Source organism: Homo sapiens, chromosome 14 (assembly GCF_000001405.40).
Source record: "Homo sapiens chromosome 14, GRCh38.p14 Primary Assembly".
NCBI lineage: Eukaryota > Metazoa > Chordata > Mammalia > Primates > Hominidae > Homo > Homo sapiens.
The window spans coordinates 56,282,770-56,301,524 of NC_000014.9; the positions used below are offsets into that span (position 1 = coordinate 56,282,770).

Below are 18,755 nucleotides of genomic sequence, written 5' to 3' on the forward strand. Positions count from 1 at the left end.
CCTACATAAGTATATGTATATTCTCCCCTGTTGATATTTTTATGGAACTTTATTATTATATCTTTTTAATACTCATTAAAATTATTTTCAATTTATAAGTTTTTTTACTACTTACAGTAGCAGTGAAGATTTTAAAGATTTTTTTTACAGAGAGAATTCTTAATACTAAAAAAGTGAATAAAGCCTATTTCACAATTGTCAGTGATACTTTTTTACCACTTAAATTCAAAAACTACTGTGATGGTACCTGTTATAGGTAAGTCAGGTACTCTCAAAGTGTGAGACATTAAATTCCTTTAAGAAGAATCTTGTTTCTTCGGAATTTTTCAGAGTTTCATAGATATTCTTTAGCGACGTACGTGTCACATAGTGTATTCCGCACTGTTGAACAGTCACATTCGACTCACATGCTCACTTTCTTCCCTCTCATCTCTGCAGAATGAATTAAAAGATTTAGTTGGACTTTTTCAGCTTCCCGTTACTAACTTCTGAGTACTTTATGCATACTTCCTATTTTGTCATACAGAATATCGAAAGACTCAAGATTTAATAAAGTTCATAATTTTTAACTGCAAATTCACAGCAATGAAAAATACAATGACTGCTAATACAGTTTGGTGCCACTGCTTTGAATCATGCCAAAGCACCAGCAGCTTTACCCACCATTGTTCTAGCACCATCAGCATAGAGACCAGCACAGTGGAAAAGGCAGTTAACGTCTTTGTATTATTATGAAGGTAATTTTGGCCTCATGTACCTAGACCCCATGGCAGGGTCTCAGGGACCCTCTGGGGTTCATCAACCACATGCTGAGAATACTGATTTGTACCAACCTCTTAATTTCATAGCTGAGAAATATGGGTGTTTGAAAGGAAAAGTAATGTAAACTAAGGCCAGAAGAGAAGAGGCATTAGGGGCAGAGCTAAGATTTAGGTCACTGAGCTCTTCATTCTCTGAATAGTACCAGCTCAGCCTCTTTAAATAAAGTATGGTAAGCCAAGCAAGAATTCACATGTTTCTTAAGGAAATATAACACATTACATTCACAGACTCACTGGACCTGTTAGAAGGATCTGTGGCAGATCATTTTAAGCAGAGAACTAAGCAACTCTCATAAGACCTTGAAAAGACAGGCTTGTTTCCATTTTTTCCTCCTTTTAACAAGTTTATATTTCCAAAGCCTACTACTGACAAAAATCACTGAGCAAAAAGCGCGACAGCACTCATAGTTCTGAAGTATGGACCTCAGTGTGGAGAGTTTGTTCGTTTTAGTCATTCCCATTAAAATGATTTCTAGGGTTAATTGAGTATTTAAAGGCAGAATATCAGAAAGAACCAAGAAAGGGCTTTATGCTGCATTTCCCACTGTTGGAGTCAGTTAGTAGACTCAGAACTCAGAAATATTATTGCCTGAGGAGAAAAATCAAAGCTAGATCTGAATTTAAGGTATAAGAAATTGTTAGTTAATATAATCAGAGTAAGATCTTGGTCATTATTTTCTGGAGTAGGCATAAACAAGGAAAGAAAGAAAAGTCTAACAAGAAAGTGAAACATAAAAGAGAAAATAGTTAATGGAAGGAATTAGAGGGGTGCATTGTCTTTACAGTGTCCCTAGAGTAACGTGTGGTGCCAAGTGCCTTCTGACCTTAGGGGCCAGGAGACTGACTGGGCCCTGCAGCCGGTGTTCAGGGGCCCTTTCTCTCAGATTTCACAGTTTCACAGGCTTCGAACGCGGTGCTACAAGGCCTAACAGTTTTGGGTTTTGGTTTTTTGTTTGGTTTGGTTTGGTTTGGTTTTCAATTTAGTTGATTTACTGTAGTTTTAGATGATAACATTTAATTAGTATCTATTAAGTTAAGAGGAAAATATTAAAGAATATCTACATTTTCTAGTGGGTATTTCTACAACCATTGTACATGAGCATGCATGTGCAGGTATGTTTGTATCTCATAGGATTCAGCCTCCCTGTCATAATCTTCCAATTACTAGTTTCATCTCTTGACCATCTGCTGTGTCAGAAACTCCTTTGATGACTGGGGAGAGATAACTAAGGCTCTCCTCTCAAGGAGGCTACATCTGGAGAAGGCAGACCACAAATAAACAAACCCTCTGGGCAGAGGAAACAGTGAGCGCAAAGGCTCCAAGTCAAGATCACAGTGGAGAAGGACAGCAGTGAACTCAGATGGACTTGGAAGGGCAGGTAGAGGCTGAGACAGGTAGGACCTTCAGGCCAGGTTGAGTCTGAGATTTATTCTAGGAATTTTGGGAAGCTGTTGGAGGATTTTAAGCAGGAGAGAGGTATAATCTGATTTATGTTTTTGTACGATTTCTCAAACTACTGTATGGAAAAGAATCTAGGTGGCAAGTATGAAAACAGGGAGACCAGTTTGGAGGCTAAGGTGATAGAACCCAAGTAAGACATAATGGTAACCAGAACCAAAATGGGAAAAGTAGAAGGATTGAGGATGTGTTTGGAGGTACAGCTGACAGTGTTTACACAGGGCTAATGTGGGCATGGAGGAAACTGAAGAATCAGGTTATTCTTGGGTTTTGACTTTTAGCTTGAGCAAATTGGATGTCAGTCAGTCATTGATATAGGGAAGCCCCAGGGTGAAGGGGGATCCAAGTTCTGTTTGGCATATATTACATTTGAGATATTTATCAAACATACAAGTGGAGATTGGGTGTGCCGGTCTGAAGCTCAGGGGAGAGATGAAGACTTTGAGCTGTTAGGTGGGATTTGGTGATACTATTTAGGGAGAGAACAGAAAGAAAAGGGAAGGGGGGACTATTTACCAACTGGCCTGAAAGTTTCATTATTTTAGTACCAGGTAGAGATGGACCGGCATATGCTGGCTCAGCATAAGCCCTGGATTTAGCAATATATTGATTTTTGGAATCTTAGCATGCGTGGTTTCAGTAGAGTTGTGGGGAAGGAAGCTCAATTGGAGTGGGTTGAGGAAGAAGGAAGCTAAAGATATGGGTGAGGAAGTGGAGGAGATAACAGGTTTTCCAAGAAGTCTTGCTGTTAAGTGAATCAGAGAAACAGGGCTGGAGCCTGGGGCTTGCTTGCAGGTGAAGGAAAGCGTTTTTAAAGGTGGGAGACTACGCCAGAGCAGGGCTACTCAAACTGCACTCCCTCTGCCCAGCAGTGAAATGTTTGTTAAAATACAGAATGAGATAAGCATACAAATTGAGAGGAAACTTTTATGACAGTTTGGCATTGCGGAAACATCCAAGCAGATGATCATTTCTCAAGTACTCATTTTTATTGTATGTTTAAAAGGCATCAGTGATGGGTTAAAATTTAAAACAACAACAGCAACTATACTGGTCCTTTAACCACAGAGTTTGAGAAGCTCCAGAACGTGTGTGAAAGCTGATGGCATGATCCAGTATAAAAGGAGAAATTGGTGACTCAAGAAAGAGAGGAGATAATATTAGGAGCAAAATCCTTGGGAAAGGGAGAACATTGGAATACCAAGTGTCAATGGAAAGATTGCTTTTAGATGGGAGCAACAATATTTCATCCTTATCCCAGGAGGGAAGTCAGAAAATAAAGTGATTGATGCAGGGAGATGGGAGGAATTGGTTGAGGGAGGTGAGAAAAAGGTGAGGCCCTTCTAGATGCTTTGATACCATCTTACCTGTCCTGGCTTCAGCTGACATCCAGGCAAACCCAAACTTTTCTTATATATATAAAATTTAACATGCTGAATGGAGCAAAGTTATCACTGTAGCTAGTTATATGACTACCGGCATTCTGTGACTATCACATGAAATTCAGAAGCACCCTGGCTTGCGTGCTATATGAATATCAGATGAAATTCAAAAGCATCTTGGCTTGTGTGCATGACTGCCTTTAAAATAATGTAGAGTTGATCCAGTAGTCAAAAGAAAGGGCAGGCTGCAAGTTTTCCACATTGAGTGATTTTTCAGCAGGAAAGTGACTTAGTTTTGTTTTTTTGTTGTTTTTTTTGTTGTTGTTGTTGTTTTGTTTTCCTGGAAAAAGCAACATGAGGCTTGTGTCATAAAGTATAAAATTTTACCAGCACTCTAGAGGTTAGATTTAAGTGGAAGCAAACTGATAAGTCATGTGTATGACCGATCAAGATAAGTGTCATGACTTAAAATCATTGATCCTAGCAGGCTGTTCCAGTTAGAATAAAATTTCCTCTTTTTACAGTCAATTTCAATTACTTCATCAAGACATTAATTTAATACATTTGGATGAACTCAGAATGTGGCCCTTCTAGAAAAGAGTAATTTCTGTACACAAGAAGGAACAGTTATGAAACATTCAAACCAGCAGAGTGGTTTTGGCTTTGAACTTAGAGCTTGAAAAGTCATTGCCCTCTTCCATGGAGATGGACAAATCTTGTGACAGTGACTGTCGCTATGAGGCTCCAGGTTTGGTGAGATGACTGGGAAATTCTAGAATTTATCACATTTTACTCCTAAACTTCACTGGAATAGAGGCTCAGGACAGGTTTACGCCTAAGTTTGAAGTTGGCTTTGTTTTCGCCTTTATACTTTTCTCCATTTGTTAAATATTTTGCAATAAGTCTTCATTACTTTTCTAATTTTCTTGTTAAAAAATGTTTAACAAAATTAAAGCAGTCTGAATCAGTAGAGTTTCCAAGTTACCCAGTTTTTAAATGAATCTAGCAGAGAGGAGATTTTGCAGCTTTAGAAGGATGAATTATATGATTTTATAATACATCTAATTTAGATTTTACATTGCATTTTTTAACAAGTTATGTGTTTTCAAAACCTGAAATGCATATATCTAGGCAATATGCATCTGTTCAAATTGTTAAGTTTCAATGAAACCAGCAGTTTAGTTCATTCCAGGCACATTTCATTAGGGCAAGAAATTAAGGGTGATAAAAAAACAAAAGAAAATAGATGTCTGTGGTCTGCTGGTTTTAGAGAGATAGTCTGTGCATGAGAACGTATATATGAGATTTACAAAAGAAATGTAATATTGTTCCAGGAAGCAAGCTGAGCTAAGTGATACAAGATTTTTTTTCTACTTTCTTCATTTGGATGAAAAATGTATTACATTGCCTAGTTTGTAGATAGAACTTTGAGACCAGAATAAAAATGCCTTGGAAATTGACTTTTGGGAACTTTATGTGCATACATCACAGGCCTCTGCATTCCTCCCATTGGCAACTTCAGAATCAGAGTTACAGTTGTTGGGATAGAACATTAATCCAAGAGATAAAATCTGATGAGTGGCCAAAGATCTACTCCTGTCCTCTTAATTGAGCTTTTTCTCAATACTTAAAATCTAATGAACTAGTGAGTGGCATAAAGTGAGTTAAGCAAGATGAGTAAGTTCTAGAGAGTTGCTGTGCACCGTTCTGCCTGTAGTCAACAATGACTGCATTATGTGCTCAAATATTTCAGAGGATACATCTCATATTATATTCTTAGCACAATACAATAAAATTAAAAATAGGTATCTCTAATATTTGGTTACCCTAATATCTTCCCTAGTTAAATAGGAAAAGGAGCACGAATGAAAATCTTGCATTAAATTCTAACCCTCAGAACAAGGATAGTGAATGTTAAAGGAATCCTGAATGCTTTTTCCTTGTGAATAAAATACGGCACCCTGCTATTTTCCAAGTGAATCACGAGTACATTTGATTTACTTAGGTGGGCAGATCAACAGAAAGCCCTATCGACTTCGTTGTCACAGACACGATTTCTGGCAGCCAGAACACGGACGAAGCCCAGATCACACAGAGCACCATATCCAGGTTCGCCTGCAGGATCGTGTGCGACAGGAATGAACCTTACACAGCACGGATATTCGCCGCCGGATTTGACTCTTCCAAAAACATATTTCTTGGAGTAAGTACTGTCAAGAAGTACACGATTTCTAGAAAAATGCTTGTGATTATGATATGGAACATTTAATTGGAGCAAAAAAAAATTGGCTTTGTATGTTGCCTCTAGTGAGATTTTGAGATTTTAGTTTTCAGGTGGCCAGTTTGAGAAACTTGTTATTAAAAATCTGAACATTAATAAGCATTGCTTGTTATTCATTATATTTTTTATATTGTAATATTTACAGTAAGTACTTTTTTTAAAGTATGCCTATAACATTGTCCATAATGTATTTACGGCAACGAAGAGGTTTATTTCAGAGAGAAAAATAAATGGGCCAAATTTAGATCATTAGGGCTTAGAGGAAAATGTTAGTGATTCACTCATTCAAAAATGTTTTATGAGTGTTTGCTATGTTCCATACTGGGTGTTTTAGTTATGGGATTACAGAGAACAACACAGACTTGAATCCCTGCCCTTATAGGGTTTCCTTGTAAACCCCAGAAGTTTTAGTGAATATCCAGGTTTAACATAGTTTCCTTTTGAATTAGGATATTTTTGCAGGAAAAAACCCACTCAAAATGATCTAAAATCAGTGAAAATGTACTATTCCCACATAAGAAGTGCCGATGAAGGCCAGCTCCAGGGTTGGTGGTTCAGTGGTTCTGTGACATCCAGTGCACTGGGTTCTCTCTGTCTTGCCTTCTGCCTCCCGTGGTGCACCAGCCTCTTCCTGGGAGGTCTTCTTGTGGGTGAGAGCTGGCTCCTGCACTTCCAGATGTCCCCTGCCACATGACAACTTCCAGCCAGAGAAGAGGGTGGCAGAAGCACTGTTTCTTCCTTGTCTCTTCTTAGAGCACAGACACCTTTCTTGGAAGCCTCCAAGAAGATATCATGTGTCATCAGTCAGAGCCCAGTCATGTGCTGTGCCCACCTGTAAACCAGCTATTGGGAAGAGGGCTGGGAGTGTCATGTTGGGTTAATCAGGATTCCCCACCACCCCCCAACCCCCGCCCCAGCCACATGAACAGTAGCTGAGCTCTGTCACCAAGAAAGCTGAAGGGAAGAGCTGTGGCACAAGCACCCAAGAGTGTCTGTCCTGTCGTCATGTCAAGCTACATGCGCCATCTACCTTTGAGAATTTAAACGGTGATTATTATGAAAACATAATGACCCCGACTTGTTGGCTTAACATTTTTGGAATTTTCTAGCTTTAATAAAAGGTCTTTCTTTATGACTGTCCTTTCTCTTCTCTATCCTGACAGTGAGAACATAGAAAGTACTTTTAGATAACAGGATAGGAGCATGGCATAAGTATAACTGAAAAGAGAAAACACACCAGATTCCTGGAATCTCATGGGGTTGTGGGGAAGGTAAAAAGAATCTTAGAGGGAGAAGCCCAGGCCTCGATTTTTTGCAAGTTCTTGAGAACTATGATGTGTGTCCAGTGATAAGTCATTCATCCATTCAGCACTTCTTTTATATTGTCGAAAGGATGGCATATGTTATCCTTGTGATTATTAGCTTTAAATAGAAAATGAAAATTCATCACCTTCCTCCCCTCTGCCTCTATGCAATGTATTAAAGAAATTCCAGAATCCTTTCCATTTCAACATCATCTTAACCTACTTTTTCTGTTCTGCTGTGTTCTCTCCAGGAAAAGGCAGCAAAGTGGAAAAACCCCGACGGCCACATGGATGGGCTCACTACTAATGGCGTCCTGGTGATGCATCCACGAGGGGGCTTCACCGAGGAGTCCCAGCCCGGGGTCTGGCGCGAGATCTCTGTCTGTGGAGATGTGTACACCTTGCGAGAAACCAGGTCGGCCCAGCAACGAGGAAAGCTGGTGAGTGTGCTTCACTCTGCAAGTGTGAAGTACGAAACTACTCAAGCCTAACTCGAAGGCTATCATTTTCCTCCCCTGATGTTCAGAACCTTTGTGCAGGTCCAAGCGCCATGTACTGTAACTCAGGAGAAGCAGAATTCCACAAGCCCCTGAAATCAAGAGGGAAATGGCCTTATCTCCTTCAGGGGTTCAACTTTTCCCATAGTGGGAGTAAATTGTGTTTTGCTCCTTACCACCTGAAGAGCATTATCTTTTATTATATACCTCACCACAAAAATCTACTTAAATTCACTTTAAGGAGAAGAAACTTATTTTTAGTGTAAAACTTTATTGATTTGGAAAACGTTTGAGCAGTCCAAAAACAATTAGTAAAAATTATGCATTAAGGAATTATTTACTAGACTTTCTGGAAGTAAAAAATAAGTCAGCTGGTTTTCCCTTTGAATTCCTATATATTAAGGCAGAATTCTCTATACTGTCCACCAAAATCATAGTTACAACTGTTTACTTGAAATGATTTATATACTGCATTGACCTGGCATGTTAATATTTTCCTATAAATATCACCACTTATCCCCATGCCCTAAAGCAGTTTTTTTAAACCCATTCTTTCTTGGAGAATAATTATAATACCTTAAATATAGAACTTTGGGTTTCTGATCTTGCCATAGCCATGTAGCACAGCCACTGATTTTTAGTAAGCTGTCCATTCCTGTACTTTTCTTAATTTGCTAGGTAGAAGCTAGAACGAGAGAGAACAAATGTCTTTTTCTAGAAGCTAGAAAAGAAGGAGTTCTTCAAAACTCCCACAGAATAAAATGTATACAGAATAGAGGATTTGACCTAGCACTTGTCAGAGAGAAAGATCATCACCAAAAATGTCTAAGATGGAAAAAGAAGTTGGGGGCTGTTTCACTGACCTCATTTGCTGTTCTCTACTGGATGTTTGTGTTTAGGGAATGGTTATTTTTATTTCTATTTTACACCATTTTTCAGCTTCAGGCACAGCGTATGCGTCTTACAGTGCACCATGGCTGAATAAATATGAGAAGCATTTTCTAAAAAAAAAGCAAATTCAATAAATTTTGTATGAATGTTTTCAAGAAATTGTAAACAAAGGAGGAAATGTGAAAGCAGTTTTTCTAAATAATCTTTTGTTTCTGATCACTGGATAGTTTTATACAAAACTGACCTAGATTGGCCAAACTGGTTATTCATCATTATAACAGCAAGAGTAAGAAGTCAGTAAATGGTTGCTGGGTGCAGACTCTGCGTTAACATTTCCGACATGAGCTCACTTCATCTGCACAGCAGCCCTCTTAGGGAAGTAGAGTCATCCCCATTTCATGGATGAGGAAGATGTGGCGTGAAGTTAAAGATTGCCCAGTGTCACAGAGTTAGCAGGTGGCAGCCAGTGGGATTCAAACTCAGGTCTCCCTGATGGAGAGCCTGGACACCTAATACTACTCAGTACCATGTTGTGGGGAGCCAGGGATGGTTTACACCTGAGCATTTGCCTCCCTGGGTGAGTATAAAGCATACGCTGGAGTCCGTGGGGAGCGCCTTTGTCCAGGAGGGCATATCACAGGATGAGTTTCTCGTCCACTCTGGTTATTGTGTAATGACCCTTCTCAGGCTGCTATGTGTGCTGGAGAATTTTACAGTGCGACTGAAAAGAACGAACTCCAAAAATGGCTTGTATTAATGAGTTGTATTAAATATACAGGCTATTTTTGAAGTTAGTCCCTATAAGCGACACTGAGAACTATGTAAAATTGTGCTGTCCTATTTGATAGCATCCGATTAACCTGGCCAGTTACAAAGGCTTCTATCAGCCTGATCTTGGGCTTATGGGACACTGAACGGATACATTCTTCCTGCAATCTCCTCTTGTTAACCTCTGGAGAACAGTTTTTGTCTGTCTTCGAGGAAAGCTTACTGACTCTTTGAACTTCTGTTTCAATTCATGACTCATTGGTCCTGTACATGTTGCTGGTAGCATTTGATATAAATTATGTTTATCTGGAGGTTAGATTTTGGAGACAGTCTCTGGCAGTACTTGTCATTTGCAGTCTAATACAGAAATATGAGAAATAAAGTGAGCTGCTAAAAGTCTAAAATATTTGTTAAAACAATAGTAGTCACATTGTGGAGCTAGTGCTGGTGGAAGATTATGTATTAATATCATACTGAGCATTTGATATGAATCAATATACTAATGTATGTGTAACAAGAAATCACCGTTGTTTTTCATTATTACAGCAAATGATGGAACCTCAGAACTGTGTACTAATCAACAAAATTAATTAAATATGGGGGAAATGTCTTTTCAGGCCTTTAACTCCCTGAATAAATAGGTGAATGGAGTTTGAATTGTGCCCTCCTTTTTTAGCTAGTTAATGATAACATATGGTAACATTTATAATATTACTCCAGGAGGGCCTTGAGTATTTAATTAAATTATATATGAAGTATTTTATTAAACTAAACTGGCTTTGTATAAAATTAAGTAAATTCAGTTAAGTTGATTGCATACCTAATTTTAGGTGAAATTATAAAAATAACCATAGCGTAGCTATGGTCAGGCTCTAGCAGGTGCATTACATTAATTGTCTTTCCAGTGTTGCTTAAAATAACCCGTGAAGTCAGTGTTGTTATTGTGTCCGTCTACAGATGAGGAAACCTGGGCTTTAAAAGGTTAAGTCACTTGCTAATAAGAAGTGGTGGATGGGGGGTTGAATTCACTACCCTGTGCTTAGATAGTTGCTATGTAGGGGCCATTAGTTGCCATGGTAGAGGCCAAATGTCTCTTGCTTCCACAATACTGTCAATTCCTGTGCCTGCTCATAGCTTTTCTTTTGTGGTAGAATTTAAAAAATAAAATCTGAATTCATGCCTACTAATGATTGCTAAATCAGGCCACCAGGTTCAAGTCCTGGTTTCACCACTTAGTTCTGTGGTATTGAATTGACGACGTAACCTCTCTGTGCCTGGCTTCCACATCTCCCAAACTGGAATAATATTAATACATGTCTAATAGGACTGTTGTGAGAACTAAATTCAGTAGCTGGAAAGGATTGGAACAGTGCTGGACACAGTAATGCCCCATGACTGGCTGGTTGTTATTACTAAGCAGGGGTTGCAAACTGGGGATGTGGCAGAAAACACCAAGTCCACGCTCTGCCCTCTAATTGCATGGTCTGGAGGAGGTCACAGACTAGGCAGCAGATCAGCAGATACTGTGTGATGAGCACAGTCATGAGAAGGTACCGAAGGTACTTTCCCTCCACAGGACACCTACCCCAGATGTGGGAGTCAAGGGTATGTGGAAAATAAAAAACCATACACCCCAGATTTATAATAAGACTTTGTTGTTTACCAAGAACTGCCCTGCAGGAGGAAAGGGGGGTTGTTCCACAGCCAGAGGCTAGGCCACCACCATACCTCAGCTTCTTACCACATCAGGGTGATCCTTTAGACACAGTTTTATCCTGCAATGAGGCCTCCTCTGAGAATTGCCTGTGGTCAGCAAGGTCAGGAGCCTCACGTCACCAGTTAGAGGAGAGGAGACCATGGGATGCTCGGTATGGTGGTGGGGCGGGGAAGGAGCATCAGCAAACTTCAGGCTGTCTGAAAGGAGTCACAGTGTATGTCCTGTACAGTATTAAGATTTATCATTTGTTGGGACCTTAACTTTTTCTAAAAACTAATACTTGGGAAGGGCTGATTTCTTCATGACAAGGAAAATGTCCAGGGCAAAGTGACATCCAGGTGAGACCTGGATGACAAGTAGGAGTTTGCCAACCAGGGCTCAGCTGGAGCAGGGTGTACTGGAGTGGAGTATTCTAGGCAGAGGTTGCTCTTGCACCTGCCTGTGGGCAGTCCGAGGTAGTGCGCTCATGGACTCCAGCTCCTTGCAGCTCATCGCAGGACAGTCCTGGTTTCCAGTTAGGAAGGGAAGAGCTACAGCAGGAGAAGTCGAGTGACTGCATTGGGAGTGACCTTTTAAGTGTGTTAAGAAGCTTGGGCTGTACCCCAAGGGCAGCAGAAAGCCGCCAAAGTCCTTTGAACCAAAGATTGACAAAATTTCTGGTGCTTCCCATACCTCTCTCTTTCCCTTACATGGTTCTTTTCCTCCACCCCAGCTCCTGGCTCTGTCCTCAGTCCTCTCTGCCCTCCCTGGGACCCTGCCTGGGCAGTGGCATCCATTCCCACAGCTTCACCTAGGTGCGGATAACATCCCAGATATGTTTCTTCGAGCCTGATCTGTCTCCAACGCTGCATCACACGTGCCTTGTATGCATTACCACCACCGATACTCTGCACACCCTCACATTCAGCACACCCAAAACTGAACTGGCCTGGCTCTTGCTGTTGAACTTATTTAGTTCTCACAACAATCCTATAAGACATGTATTGGCATTATTCCAGCTTAATGGATGTGGAAGCCAGGCCCAGAGAGGTTAAGTCGTTGACTCAAGACCACAGAGCTACTAAGTGGTGAAATCAGGATTTACTCCCTCATCTGCCATTTCTCCTGTGTTTCTGTCTGTGGAAAGCACTGTTCTACCCAGACAACCAGGCACGTAAGAGGCTCTTGCTCAGATCAAGAGCTGAGTGCCATCGAGTCTAATTTCTTTCTCTCTAGTCCCTGTGCCTCTGTCTCTTGCCACTGAGACTGTCTTTGTTGAGGTGTACTCACCCTCTCTACCCAGAGAGAGCACCAGTTGCCTCCTTCACAGCTCATCTTTACCCCTCCAACCCACCCTCCAAAGTTCTAGAAGTGACCTTTTTGAAAGGTCAATCAGTTCTTTTATAGTTACCTAAACCCCCTACCAACTCCCTCTGGGCATGGATGCCAGCCTCCCTCTCCCGCCTGGGTCTCTCGTCCCCCCCCACCCAGTGCCCTGAACTGCGTCCATCCTTGTTCAGCCTGGCTGCACAGCCTCATCAAACTCCCTGTTGCTCCCTTGGTGCATATGCCATTTGGCCTCTCCTCCTTCTCCCTGCTGTGCCTTCCTGCTATCCTCCCTACTGAGGCCTGACATCTTTCTCAAATCTCTGTTAAAGAAAAACCTTTTAGAAACCATTTCTGACCGTCTGTCATCATCAGAGTAATAGTAGCAGGTATTTACAGAGTGTTGACTGCGTACCAGACAGTGTTCTCTAAGAACTCTTTGCATTTACTTATCTAACACAACCACCTTTTCTAAAGTTTAAACAAGGGGAAACTGAGGCACGAGGAGTTTAAGTAATCTGCACAGCGTCATACAGCTAATAAGTGGGAGAGCCAGGGTTCAAACCCAGAGTCCACACTCCTGGCTGCTATAAATTTGTGGCCTTGAACAGTGCTTTACTGGCCTTCATGCACTCTGAGCTCTGGGCATGTCTGCCTTCCACTACTGAAGAGCAAGTCTCAGCAGGATGGGGAAGAGGTTTTATTGGCCTTTGGTACCTCCAAGGCTTAGCATGCATCTGGCATGTGGAGGCAGCGGTCACGTTCTTGCTGACCACGCCTAGCTGCTGCTTGTCAGCTGTTAATCAGTCTTATAAGCACTTAGTGCATAGCACAGGCCTCCTTCTAAAAATGAAGGCTCATGTTGAACTGTTTAGCTTCAAACCTTAAAAATGAATGATGAAAGATAGATTCAAGGTGGAGGAAGCTAAGGGTCACCAGGAGTGCTTTGGACCCTCCAGTAATGACTGCAGGCCCCCCGCAAGATCTTCTGGATTGGCTGTCATCAAGATGAGGATGAGTCTCCACTGGATGGACTGGTAGGACATCTCTCATCCTATGGGATCAGTGAGTCATTGTGTTACTGACTTAAGGAGTTAAAAAGAAAATCTTAGGAGATTTGTGAAGTTCATTAAAATAACCACTACAGTAATTGAACATGTAAAGCTAGGTATACATACTGTGCTCAGGGCTTTGTACATACGGCATATATGTATCATATCCAGTGATCAGATGAGGAAGATGAGGCTCGGGGAGGATAGGTTACTCCCCCAGTTCTGTTTTTGTGGGATAAATTGCTTCCCTGTGTTATCTTCAAATATTTTTTTGCTTGTTCTGAGAGGAAAGAATCTTGGAGTGATTTGCTTGATTTTGCTTTTAAAAGGCATGTGTCTCAAACTTGTTGTAGGTGGAAAGTGAGACCAACGTCCTGCAGGACGGCTCCCTCATTGACCTGTGTGGGGCCACTCTCCTCTGGAGAACAGCAGATGGGCTTTTTCATACTCCAACTCAGAAGCACATAGAAGCCCTCCGGCAGGAGATTAACGCCGCCCGGCCTCAGTGTCCTGTGGGGCTCAACACCCTGGCCTTCCCCAGCATCAACAGGAAAGAGGTGGTGGAGGAGAAGCAGCCCTGGGCATATCTCAGTTGTGGCCACGTGCACGGGTACCACAACTGGGGCCATCGGAGTGACACGGAGGCCAACGAGAGGGAGTGTCCCATGTGCAGGACTGTGGGCCCCTATGTGCCTCTCTGGCTTGGCTGTGAGGCAGGATTTTATGTAGACGCAGGACCGCCAACTCATGCTTTCACTCCCTGTGGACACGTGTGCTCGGAGAAGTCTGCAAAATACTGGTCTCAGATCCCGTTGCCTCATGGAACTCATGCATTTCACGCTGCTTGCCCTTTCTGTGCTACACAGCTGGTTGGGGAGCAAAACTGCATCAAATTAATTTTCCAAGGTCCAATTGACTGACGCCCTTGACAGCCATCTACGACTTTATTAACAGGTTACTGTGAAGATTTTGCCACTAACTCTAGATTTTACCTTTTTGTAATGCTGTTTATCAGAGGAGGGTGACAGGGGCTGGAAATAAAGAGAGGGGACATGGTGATGAAACATGGCAGGAGTGTAACAGATACCAGTGGTGTGTTGCATGCTCAAAACAGCAGCGTCGTCATTGAAGTCTGCTTGATTAAACCATAATATCTTTGTAATAATTGGATTTAAAATGCTATGCTTCTATTTTTAACCTTGGGTTTTTAACCAAGTTTTTTTTTTTTTGTAATCTTGGACAAGACTTTAAATCATATTTTACAGATGTAGAAGAAATTTATTCAAAAGTGTGGGCTCATGAAGTTCACTTCAGTGCAGTGTGGTGTAGGTGTTACGCGAAGGGCGCACAGTGTCTAGAAATACTTGATCGTGGCTCAAACCTGACCAGACAGCAGAGGGGCGGCTCTGTACAGTGTGACTGGTGGACAGATGGCCTTAGGCACAGGTGGTTTTGAAATCTGGGGCTTTTTCTGATTTATTTTTCTGACTTGTTGGGGGAGAGAATATTCATAACTTGTGGGCTTTTTTTTTTTTTAACTTCAGTGGAATTTACTTTAGATATTCATTCATCAAATACATGGGACTTCACAAACAATTTTCCATAACTTTTTAGCCTGTCTTTTGTTATTTCTGCCTAATATGATTTGCCCCGATACTCATCTTGCACGGCCAGAACTGTTTGGTTGATTAAAATACATCAGCTCTTAAAAACTCATTAACTGAGGGTAATTACAGTAGTAGACATGGTCTGGGTACTATACTACCATGTTTATTTGCTGACTGAATTAAGATTTAAGAATGATTAAAAATAAGCTTTTACTTTTTAAAACCACTTGAGGTTTCATAAAGCTTGGGGTTTTTTTTTTTCCTTTGTTAAGAAAGCCAACCAATCACAATGATATAGTCATTGTTGTGCACTCCCTTTTCACCATCTGTCACCTTCCCTTGCAGCTTAAGGAGCCCAGTAAGTTTTGAAAATGTTTGCGAATCAAACTAAATTTAAGTGGGATGATTAGATATACACAACACCAAGTGGTACATCTGCAGAGATAATTCAAAATTCCTGCTTTTGAGAGAGCAAATGAGTGTTGCTGAGGAATAATTAAATGAGAATTTCATAGGAGCTCCACCATTCCTGTTACTTTCATTTCATTTTGATTAATAATTCTTGGATGCTTGGCATCGATCGTATCACTGCTCCTAGAAGGTAAAGATCCTTTAGGACATGAGACTGGTAGAAGCTGGCTGAGATAAAATAAGTATTTATTTAAACTAATGTTCTCTTAATTTGACCATTGCAGATTTGGGTGACTTTTTTTTAACCTTTGTACATATACGTAATTTATATGATTCTAATGTACTATATCCATACTTGAATTGGTTTTTTCGTATTTTGCCTACTGGCAAATATTTTGCCTATTTTCAGTCGTTCTAACCTATTTGAATACGCTTTTCCTTAAAGTGATACGATAATATTACTCTTGATTGCTGCTGCTTAATTTGATGTAATATGTTTAAAGTTCAGCCTCTCAGTTTTAATATAGCTTTATTTTTCAGTGGAGATCATTGTTTAGGATGAGACATTTTTGGTTTTGGTTTTGTTTGGGTAAATTTTAAATGGTGTGAAAATCGATGACAACAGTCCTCTTACAGATAGCTTGCTGTATTCTGTATAGCTTACTCTACCTGCAGACAGAAAATGAAAGAAAAAAATGGACTTGCCTAGAATAATATATTGAATGCCTTTTGATTTAGCCAGAGTCTCTGATGATTAGCTTTCACTGATAGAGTATGTCTTTTCAGCCTGTAATTCTTTGGGCCCCAAAGAATGACAAAGGAGGCACTCGTTCTCTTTTCTTGCTGTATGCCTAGAAAGTGGTTGAAGGATTCTTGATGCCCTAAAACCATCTTGTAAGCTAAATGGTCTTGCATCCAGAAAGGCCAGATTTTACCTACCAAGAAAAAAAGATATTTTTCCAGAGAGTTAGGTATATCATAATTTTCCATTTCAAGTCCTGTTTATAAGTCTAGTCATTCTGCAACGTGACATATCCCCCAAAATGAAGTTACCTTCCAAGTTGGACACGTCCCGTAGTTGGGCATATGTCTAACTAAAAGTTTCTGACTTTTAGTAAATTCAGCTTAAATATAAGTTGAAATTTGGGAAATAATTTCCAAGCTCTTGGAAGGGGTAACAGTGAACCGCCCTCCATGGGCTCCACATCTTTTCCTTTGGCTTCCAAAGTCAGGTCCCGCCCACCCTGCCTAAGGAACTGCAGAGAGGTGGCAAATCAGCAAAAAGGACACCAGGCTCTTCTTGGCCACTTGTAGGAAGATCCCTTTACAATTTTGACTAAGGAGATTTTTTTTTTCACAGTTGAGTTAGTTTGTGAAAATAAAGAACTCTGTAGCTCACCAAGGTGGAGAAACGCAATTCAGAAAAGTAATTTCTCCAAGGTCACTTCTTTTTTTATGTCTTGCCATCACTTTAAAGGACTAGCCCCACTCCCCCATGTGTATACACAAGGAAATTGCAGACCAATTAGTTGTCTTGGCCTGACTCTAATGCCTTTTGCAAGTAGCTTTCCAGAAGTAAAAGTCCCAGTGATGTATTCCCATAGAAATATTTTTCAGTTGTTTATGTCGTTTACTACAAAAAAAAAGATTCAGAGTGGATGGAGTACAACTCTGAGTATTTTTCTAGTCCGGAATTTTTTATTAATAATCGGTGCTGCCGGGTCATGCATGCTGCAACTCTCAACATTTCCCTTATTTGGTTCAGCTTTTAGCAAAAAGGGCTACAGTTCACCCTGCAGAGTATTAAGGTTTCTGGATTTTTTTCTCCCAACTGTGGCCCAAAAGAATTAAAATCTGTTAATATAAATAGAGAACATATTTATCATTCCTCGATAGTTAATTATAGACTTTGGTACCTTTGTGCCTCAGGGAAGCCACGTGATATAACTGGTTATAGAATTTCAGGGTTAGGGTTTAAAGAAAGGAGAAAGCCATTGGAAAAATGATGGGCTCCATTAAGGAGACTAATGAATCTGGATGCAGAAATATGTCAGAAACTGGCATAAACATGATTGTAGTAGAATTTATTTTCCAGTACCAATAGGGAAATTATTTTAAGTTATTACATTTACTGTATTGGGAAACTTGAGGAGAACTCTTTAGTTCATAAAGCTTCAATGTCTTTTTTTTTTTTTTCATGGAAAAACTCAAACCTCTGTTATTTGGGAGCTCAGTATTGTGTGGACACTTACGAGAGTTTTCTGCTTAATTGAAGTGTAATATAGGTTGTAGAATTGTTACCTGCAGTTCTATGGTTTTGTTTCACTTCTTTTCTTTTTTAAAGCCATTCTGTTCTTTGGATGTGCTTGAAAGGGTGTGTGATTACACCATTGTTAATGCTGGGTAAAAACTATCTTCTTGCAGCCTTGCCTCATAACAGTGGAATTTCTGATAGACAAACCACAGGACTTTGATTTTAAGCCAAATCCATCTCCATCCCTTTACTGTCAATCTTCTGTCCCAGTAGTTTAGCCTTTGTGGCTTAGGTTATGATGCGCCTCCTTCTGTGCGACCAATGAGACGACTTCAGCATCTTTTTAAAATAATCTAAGCATCATTGAAGCAGTAACACAAAAAAAAGGTTCAGTATTTTCTTTTTAGTATAACTTACATCCTTTCAAATAAGTCTTTGCCCTCATGAAGAATCCCTAGAGGAAGATAAGGAAAATAAGTATTTTCCAGTTTTGCTTGACAGTTTCTAAACAAACAAAAATAAACTCAATGAAAGGAAAGATGTTTCTTTTTAGCTGAGATGACAGATTGCTTCTCTGTATTAAATAGTCTAGAAGTTAAGGGGATGGTCACATTTACCATGTATTGTGTTATTAGCAGTTAAATTTTATGAATATGTTTGTAAAATTGTTGTTTTATATTTCATGTCAAATTGAAAAGTTTATTTCTTCACTATTGTACCTGTGGAAATACAAGCCATTTTACAGGAAAAAATCTTCAAAAACTATTAAATGGATATCAGCCTGTTTGTGAGCCATTGTCTTCAGATTCTGTGGTTGTCACTGAGTTCATTAGGACATTTAGTAGGTTGATACGAGTAGAACTGATTTTTTTCACTTCTCTAACTTCCAAGTTAATCTCCAGCTGTTGAGTTTATTAATTGTTTTATATTCTGCACAATACATATTTAAACCTTGATTCTGAAAATCCCCTACATTTTTTAATTAAAGAAATTTCCTTGGTGCCTA

At 40.2% G+C, this 18,755-nt stretch overlaps 1 protein-coding gene across 8 annotated transcripts in view, besides 1 other annotated feature; it reads left to right on the top strand.

Annotated features, from left to right (window-relative positions):
* Positions 1-18,755, top strand: part of PELI2 (pellino E3 ubiquitin protein ligase family member 2) — a 183,114-nt gene extending 164,359 nt beyond the window's left edge. For 7 of the 8 annotated variants that reach the window (XM_011536990.3, NM_021255.3, XM_011536992.4 and 4 more), the window contains 3 exons: positions 5,668-5,865; positions 7,499-7,687; positions 13,831-18,755. In XM_011536990.3, the coding sequence (XP_011535292.1) occupies positions 5,668-5,865; positions 7,499-7,687; positions 13,831-14,397 (954 nt within the window). In that variant the 3' untranslated portion in view covers positions 14,398-18,755. Of the gene's footprint in view, positions 1-5,667; positions 5,866-7,498; positions 7,688-9,949; positions 10,587-13,830 lie in introns of those variants that run through there. The other variant, XM_005267890.6, reaches the window with a different exon arrangement.
* Positions 14,080-14,579: an enhancer, noted in NCBI's record as "H3K4me1 hESC enhancer chr14:56763567-56764066 (GRCh37/hg19 assembly coordinates)". NCBI's record gives its function as "activates a minimal SCP1, AML or CMV promoter by ChIP-STARR-seq in primed H9 embryonic stem cells {active_cell/tissue: H9 hESC(primed)}" and the evidence as "EXISTENCE:reporter gene assay evidence [ECO:0000049][PMID:30033119]".